The following is an 8892-nucleotide window of genomic DNA, read 5'->3' on the forward strand; positions in this document are numbered from 1 at the left end:
GCTTTTTCTTTTCATGTTAAACGCAACCGTATTTTTATATTACATACACTGCCTTGGATAGTCACTGTATCCTCTAAGGTTTAGCATAGAATAATGAGGAAAATACATTAAATATTTCATTATAAATGAGTTAATATTTTTTCTATAGTTCTATCCTAAATAAGAAATGTTTTACTATTATCATAAAGTTTTATTCTTAACAGTTAAATTGACTTTCTATCTTTATTCATGTTTATTTAAAAAACAGATTTTGTGAGAGATATTTTACACCTATGGGTCTATCTTTGATTGAATCATGACTTTTTATATCTACCTTTTTTCTTGATACACTTTCTACAAAAACACTACTCTTAAAATATTTGTCACTTTACAATCTCTATGTAATTATCTAGATTTATCCATGAGGGCTGCTCTTAGATGTCTTAATTAATTATTTCCTTAAAAAATAATTCGTTACTTGCTACATGTCAGCCCTTTGCAAGGTATTGAAATAAAAGAGACATGACTCATTATAAAAGACATTACAGTTTAATGCCTTTTAAACAACACTTTAAAGACATTAACGTGTAACATTAATGTAACACCTACCCTACCAATGGTAGTAGGGTAGATGTTACTTTTTGCAACAGAGGCTGCAATTTTTCAACAGAACAAACTACACAAAATATTAAAGGTGCCAGTAAATATTTTATATATATATATCTATACTCACATATGTATATATTATATACATACATATTATATTATATATGTATTTATCTGTGTGTGTGTGAGTGTGTGTGTGTGCATGTGTTAGTTGGGTTGCAAAATGTGGATCAGCATAGCCTTTATGGAGAGTTGAAATTAGACAGATTCCCGGACAATAATAAGGTATCATTTAGATGGATGATAGGTGAAAATTCATTGTAGGTAAATAAACCAAGGGGAGCAAAGGCAGTGTGGTATTAAAGGGTCGTTCATATTTAATACAATGGAGAAGTGAGTGAATTATTTACGATAGACAATGCGCAGATAAGTGCTTGGCAGGAGCTGCATTTAAAGGACCACCAATGGACAGACCCTCTGCAAACCATATAGGATCCCGTTGACTCTAACATATCTTTTCAAATTTTGTCAGGTAGACTGATGTGCTAGTTTTAAAGCAATTGGTTCCCAGCTCCAACACCATGCTTCTGTAACCTGCTTTGGTAAACTGACACAGGGAATCTGCAAACCACATTGTTTCTTTTCATGCTGAATTTATGTAAGTATACGCCAACAGTAAGTAGCAGACTGAGACTGTAAGACTGGAAAAGGAAGACGGGATTTACACTTCCAATGTACTTCCTGTAGGTTCCTTGTAGGCTTCCTCATTCTGTGGGCAGCTGCCCAGCAATGTTTGTTCAGCTTGGCAGCACTCCATCATTTTAACAGTTGCTGAATCAAGTCTTCAGTTTTTCCAGCGTTTGCACAACCAGTGTCACGGTGCCCCACCTCAAATGTATCTGGACCACCCAGAAGGTATCACAACTCAGAGGTCTCAATGTCAGCTACATGGGGATGAGATGGGATTGAGGGGCTTCTTCTCAGCTGAGAGACACTAGTATAAACCAGCATCACCTCTGGGCCAGAGGTCTTAATTTTAGCTTCCGTGGCCCCTTCTAGAAGTTTCTAAATTTGAATTATTGTAACCACTTCCATTTATTCCCTCAGAACAAGGGTCAGTAGTTGTATCTTGCAGTTGATACTTCCATGGTATCTTAGAGTTCTCTTTGTACCTTTAAAATATCTAGATAATAACCTTATAAATAGTTAACAATTTTTTATATTAAATTTTATTTTTCTAGTTTGAAAAGACTACTATGGTTTCTGTTTCTGACTTGTGCTGACTCGAATAACCAATGTTTCTCAAAAGTAGGAAATTGTACTTTTAAAATACTTGTTGAATGTAAAGCTCGCAAAGCTCTTTCTTGGAGATTTTAATTCTATACTTCTGGGTCTTTAAATATGTGTATTTTTAAGAGAAAACCATATGATTCTGATGATTAATCAACTTTTGGAAGTGCTCCTATAAACCCACAGGGAGCCATTTAAGCACTTTTTAAGTGAATAATTTTAGAAAGATATTTTAACAATCCATGACTATGTGAATTAATTTTGTTGGAGAAAGGCTAGAAGCATGGTATCCAGTTAGAAGATGTCATGTGAGAAATTTAAGTTGAATCACAGAATTTGGGTTTAGTGATTGGAGGAGCCATTCCCAAATATTAGACTTAAGGATTAAGATAATAGTTACACCAGCACTCTGGGAGGCCGAGGCGTGAGGATCATGAGGTCAAGAGATCGAGACCATCCTGGCCAACATGGTGAAACCCCATCTCTACAAAAAGTACAAAAATTAGCTGGGCGTGGTGGCGGGCACCTGTAGTCCCAGCTACGCAGGAGGCTGAGGCAGAAGAATCGCTTGAACCTGGGAGACGGAGATTACAGTGAGCCAAGATCATGCCACTACACTCCAGCCTGGCAACAGAGAGAGACTCTGTCTCAAAAAAAGAAAAATAGTTACAAACGAATTATTAGTAGTTCCATCAGTGTTTTGGGAAAATAATCTTCATATGTAGATGATAATATTTTCTTCATAGTCTCTCCACATAAATGACTGTGTTCTCATTAATGACAGATATCAGAGACTCTGCCTTTTGCTTTCCTAAAGATAAATACGTCTATATAGTAAACATTAAATACATATTCGCTGGATTAAAGAAAAAGGCTGTAAGGAAAAAAAATCCATATACCTCCACACACGTGCGCATACACACATATATATGCATATATAATTTTGTTTTAATGAATTGTCTCATATTTATAATTTGAATCTTTTAAACTAAATGTGAAATGTAAAAGTTTTATTATGCATCTATTAAATAATTCATGCATCATTGATTTTGTCTAGCCACGGACAGATTATATAATCAAAATTAGCAAAGATTCTACTTAAATAAAGCACATGTTCATAATATTCTACCTGAGATCTAATTAGATTGTAAATATAATTCTAGCAGGTACTCATTCTGAGTTTTTGTGGGCTTCCACAAACTTACCATCTGAGCCTACCCATTAAAATTTTTCTTTAACTTAACTGTGTTAACATCATTCCTAATTTATTCTCTTGAGCCAAAAGAGTCCCCTACTGCTTGTCTGTTTTAGTGTTTAATTGCTTCACAGACTCCCAGATTGAATTCTGTAGCAATTTGCTCTCCTGGTAAAACAGTGAGTTTTTCAGCATGATTTAAACAAAAGTGGAAATCATGACATGAAGAGAACTCTATGTTAGTAAGTCAGAAAGCAAGGGTTTCTGAAATTCTCTATCCTTTCACTTGATTGGACAGTAATGGCGAATTATTTAATATAATAGATTTTTTCAACATGTTTAGTATTATTTCAAGAAAGATGTTAAGTCTCTACATTTAAGCCACACCCAGTTCAGCATTTCTAAGACTGTACTTAAAGGCCTTCCTAAGATAGAGGTAACCACCTTGCGTTGTAAAAATAATTCCATCAGTGTTATAAAATTATTTGTAATGATTTCAACCTACTCCTCTTTTAATAGCTTTTTCTAAAATACAAACAAACTAACAAAGATGCATTCCACTATGGTCAACTTCTATAAGTATCTATGGAGTACTGTAAGATCTAAGTTTTGAGTATCTGTATGTCAGCAAATTAAATAACTAATTGATAAATGATCTTTCAAAATAAAATGGCACAAATTTTGTATATAATATAAAGTCTCTGAATTTTAAGGGCCATCAAATAACAATTTTACATTGGGATGATGCTCAATTGAAAACAGTAGTGCCACAGTCAACATTCTAAATTGCTGCATATTCTGAGTCAGTATCCAACCTTAATAGGACAGTGACATTCTAAATTGATACCTTATAATTACAACTAATTAGAAGTAAAATTAATTTTACTAGCCTAAAGTCATAGTTGCCAATCAAGGTTTCAAGAGTAACTGCTAACATTGAGATGGACTGTCATAATCTCTGCAAGTCAAGGTCTGCCATCTGCTGTACCAAGAGCAAACTAACTTGAAATTTGATTAAAATGAAGTGAGTCTCACTGAAAGATTTTACATTAAACCTTCCCACATAAAAATACAAATGCAATTTTAATCAGTAAAACTCCCCATGGAAAGTATATGTGGACTAAATTTGTAAATATTGTACAGATAATTTTATAAACAAATACCTAATCATTAAACTCTTGCCCTTTCTAGTTCAATTTATTTTACTTCAGATTATAGGTTTTTATGATATTTCAGAAACTTTAGGAACTCTTACTTTCATAAAAAATTAGATTGATTTGTGGGCCTATTAGTGCTCTATTAACTAGAAAGTACTATGATGGTGAACATGTTTTATATCTGCACTGTCATCTACCATATGTGGCTGATAAGAACTTGGAATATGGCTAGTGTGATGGGAAAAAGTAAAAGTTTAATTTAATCTAATTTTAAGCAATTTAAGTTTAAAAAAATCTCACGTGGATCATAGACACTGTCTATAGGACAGCACAGCCATTTAGCATTGTTGAACCTATAGCGTTGTTGGATGTATAGCATTGTTGGTTGAGTCTGTATTATTCTTTTGTTCTTCAGAAGCTACTAGAGAATATAGAATTGTTATTTCTCTTTTTTTTTTTCTTCGTTACAGGGTCTCACACTGTCACCCATGTTGAAGTGCGGTGGCAAAATCACAGCTCACTGCAGCCTCCATCTCCTGGACTTAAGGAATCTTCTCTCCTGAGTAGCTGGGACTACAGGTGTTTGCTATCATGTCTAGTCACTTTGTTTTTCAATTTTTTGTAGAGATGGGGTGTCTCTTTGTTGCCCAGGCTGGTCTTGAACTCTTGGGCTCAAATACTCATCCTGCCTTGGTCTCCCAAAGTGGCAGGAATACAAACATAAGCCAATGAGTCTGCCTATAAATGTTTTTTTCTACTAAATTACATACAGTAACATTTTGTGGTTTCTTTCATAGTGACTTCCAAAGTTTTATGAATGAAGATGTTTCTTTTAGTTAAAAAAAGAAGAAAATAAAGAAAGGAAGAGGCAAGGAAGGAAGGAAAAAGGAAGGAAGGAAGGTAGGAAGGAAGGAAAGAATGTGGAATAAAGCACACAAAATGAAGTATTTAGCTAAATCAAAAACTATTTTTAAAAGACTGTGTCTGTTATTCTACCTGATTAAAAAATACACATAATACATTTGTTGGTTCACTTTTATTATTCAATGCAAAATCTTTTAAACTGGCTGTTTGTGGTTTAAATACATTTCCCAAATTTCACGTATTGGAAACCTAATTTCCAAATTCATATGTTGATTGGAGGTGGAGCCTTTTGGATGTAATTAGCATTAGATAAGGTCATAAGGCTGGGGCCTCCATGATGGGACTAGCAACATTATTAAAAGAGAAAGAGATTTGAGCTGACATGCATGTGTTTTCTCTCTTGCCATGAAAAGATCTTCACCAGATGCTGGTGCCGTGGTTTTGGATTTTCCAGTCTCCAGAACTGTAAAACATAAATTTATTAGTTTTAATAAATTACTCAGTTTATGGTATTTTATCATAGCAACAGAAAAAAATACACTTTTTTAAATGAGAACATGAAAATAATTTGTTGAAAATTGGTAGATCAATAATTAAGTATGTTATCTAAGAGAAAATGGAACAAAGGTTTAAAGTATGTGTGTGTGTGTTTGCATTTTCTGACCCTATTTTTGAGACTTCTTTTATTCTAATTGTGTAGAATTTATGTGTGACATTTGTATTTCAAAATTTCTATGAAGCAAATTGGACATCTAACAGTGTTTGAAAATAACTATTTTAATACTTTGCCAAAATAGGCATTCCAATTCTGCTAAATTTGCAAAATGACTTATATTTAGAATCTATTTTGCCTTTAACTTTACCAAGAAAATAGTACTAGCCATATAAGAAACAGTAAGATTATAGCCTCTGTATTTTAATATGTTTTTAGAATATTATCTTCTTATTTACTACTATTAATTTGTGAAAGAAAGAACTTCTGTACATTTGGAAGAAGAATTAACACAAGTCTTTGGTGCCTCATACTTTAGGTTAATCTTAAAAGGTCATGCCAAGTCCTTCTTATGGTTATTTTAGGTTAAAAAATTGCAAACTTTCAAATAGGTATAAACAAAAGACAATGAGTGGAAATGTCCATGAACTCATTTTATTCAGAGATGCAAATTTATCAGCCATATCCTCCATTATCTCTGTTTCTGTGTTAGTCTCAGTCTTTCCTATTGAAAATAACCTTTTTACTTCGACATATTTTACTTTATTAAAAAAGGCAGCCCTTGACCCTGAGTTCGAACACATAGCAATCTCAAAAGATAATTGTAATTGACATACTGTATTATCATGTGTGTTCATATGATCTCTAAGCATGATCTGACTAGGTGTTCTTACTCTTTTCTTTAGCTATGAAATACACATTCTTTGGCCAAAACTGAGAAAGTCTCACTATAATGTTCTCTTACACTGTATATTTATGTAGTTGTTTTCTTATTACTTTCTGTTTTTCTTACTTTATTATTATAAACTTCATATGTAGAACCACATTTTTTATATCTAGTGTATAATAATCAAAAGGCCAGGAAGCAATAAATATTTATTGAATAAGAAATAATGAATAACTGTCTCTCAAGGAATTCAATGAAGAATTTCAATAGATCCCAAGAGCAAAATGTCACTAATGTTAATCAAGACATGTTTATCAATTCTGCTTACCTTTAAAGAAAAATATAATAATAAGGAATATTGTCTTTGGTTTAATGACTAAGCACTAGTGTTATTGCAGAAGTGATTTGTTATTTATTAATATATAAATTTAGAGTGATAACTAGGAATAGGGAACTATTATAATTTTTGTATGATAACTATAAAGAAGCATACTTGGGTGTAACTACTTTTATCAGATACCAGGACTTCTATTTAATCTAGTTTACTCAACAGAAATAGTGATCAAACTTAATACTACTTTACAATAATAATCATTTTGTCAAATAATATATAAAAACTTATTGTTCCATATGTTATTGAATCCCTAATCAAGAATAAAATTGCTTGATGTCTTAAAGCAAAAAGGGAGCTCAAATAAGGTTGATAAATAGGCACTGATACCAAGTAAATCTGGATATCAGAGGCAGATAAGGATATTTTTCCTAATCTGGCCAAAATTTCACTGGGCAAAAAGGACTGGAAAACTCTATTCCTTACCAGCATGGGAGGTAGATTCAAATGCAAACTATGCATATTTGGGAAGCACACAGCAAATACACTCATATAAAAAGTAGATCAACCAGTCACAGTGGTTTACACCTGTAATCTCAGCACTTTCGGAGGCCGAGGCGGGTGGATCACTTGAGGTCAGGAGTTCGAGACCAGCCTGGCCAACATGGTGAAACCCTGTCTCCAATAAAAATACAAAAAAATTAACTTGGTGTGGTGGTGTGCGCCTGTAGCCTCAGCTACTCCAGAGGCTGAGGCAGGAGAATCGCTTGACCCTGAGAGGCAGAGGTTGCAGAGCCGAGATCATGCCACTGCACTCCAGCCTGGGCAACAGAGCGAGACTGTCTCAAAAAAAAAATCATAACTGCTTAAAAAGTAGAGCCTTTATAACAGGCAAACCCCAGAAGAGATGTATATACTTTCACAAGACACAAATTCTGGAGAATATTAGCTCTTAAAAAGTTCATTAAAAAATACACTGGTATGAGAAAGTGTCAACAAAGAAATAAGATGGACCATTTAAAGTGCAATGACTATAAAAAATAGAGCATTCTGAAAAACTTAAATATATTTATGTTTTAAGTGTTAACATAGGGAATGCTGGCACTGTCTAGGATAGAATGTTCCTAATTATAGTAGCTTACCCATTGAAGGCTGAAATAAAACATGCAAGGATGTGTGTGTTTGTGTGTGTGTGTGTATGTGTGTAAAGGCTTTAGAAAGCTGATGAGACCTGAGGTACTCAATCTCCAAGAGAAGAAAACTGAGCACCCTGAGGACAGTTAGGGAACAGGGCTGTTGAATCATAGCAGACAGCAACAGGGCCTCTAGTGTGCAAACAGAATTGGAGTTCAGATCCTCCAAAGTGGCTGTGATCTGAAAGACAAAACTGACATCAAAGAATCCTCACAGAAGCGAGCGGAAATATTTTTATATACTTTTACAAATCCTTTGCAAAATTCAAAACTTTGCATACAGAAGTCAAGACAAAGTAAGATGCTCAGAAGGCTGTAATCCCTGGAAGGCTAGAGAATTAAGCAGTATCAGAGATGTAAGATGCTAGCAAGAACAAAGTTGATTTTAATCTGAACACAGTAGCACTGAAACGGGCAAACCACTCAGAATTTCAGCTAATAATCCCAAAGGGTCATATCCTGTGGCTAAGGGAAAAATAAAAGCAACCTTACAGATCTCTAAAATGAACTCTCTAATCCTCAATAATATTAAATTGCTAACACCGTATTTGCTGGGAGGGGAAGGACAACAGCCATAACCTTAACCTTCTCAATAAGAAGATTTTATCCTCTAGAGTTTCTCTGCATTCTAAAACACAAAAACAAAAAGAAAACAAACGGATAAAAAATTATATGCTAAAATACGAAATCAAACCTGGGCTGGGGGAATAGAAAAGGTCTATCAGGAAATGCAGATAAAGGCATTATGAGACATACCTTTAAAATATATCTTTTATATGTTGAGGAAAGAGAACTTTGGAGACTACAAAAGTAACTAAATGGAATTTCCATTTATTTCTAGGTATTTCATGGGTTTTGATACAATTTTTATGGGATTTTTTCACTTTATATTATCTTA

General features: G+C 33.7%; 1 long non-coding RNA gene across 1 annotated transcript; it reads right to left on the reverse strand.

Moving 5' to 3' along the window:
* Nucleotides 1-5248: 5248 nt before the first annotated feature.
* LOC124901158 (uncharacterized) lies at nt 5249-8165 on the reverse strand. Its single transcript, XR_007059096.1, has 2 exons — nt 8033-8165; nt 5249-5554 (listed from the first exon to the last, which is right to left on the reverse strand). It is a non-coding gene; the product is annotated as an uncharacterized LOC124901158 (long non-coding RNA).
* Nucleotides 8166-8892: the final 727 nt, after the last annotated feature.

Source organism: Homo sapiens, chromosome 5 (assembly GCF_000001405.40).
Source record: "Homo sapiens chromosome 5, GRCh38.p14 Primary Assembly".
NCBI classification, from domain to species: Eukaryota; Metazoa; Chordata; class Mammalia; order Primates; family Hominidae; genus Homo; species Homo sapiens.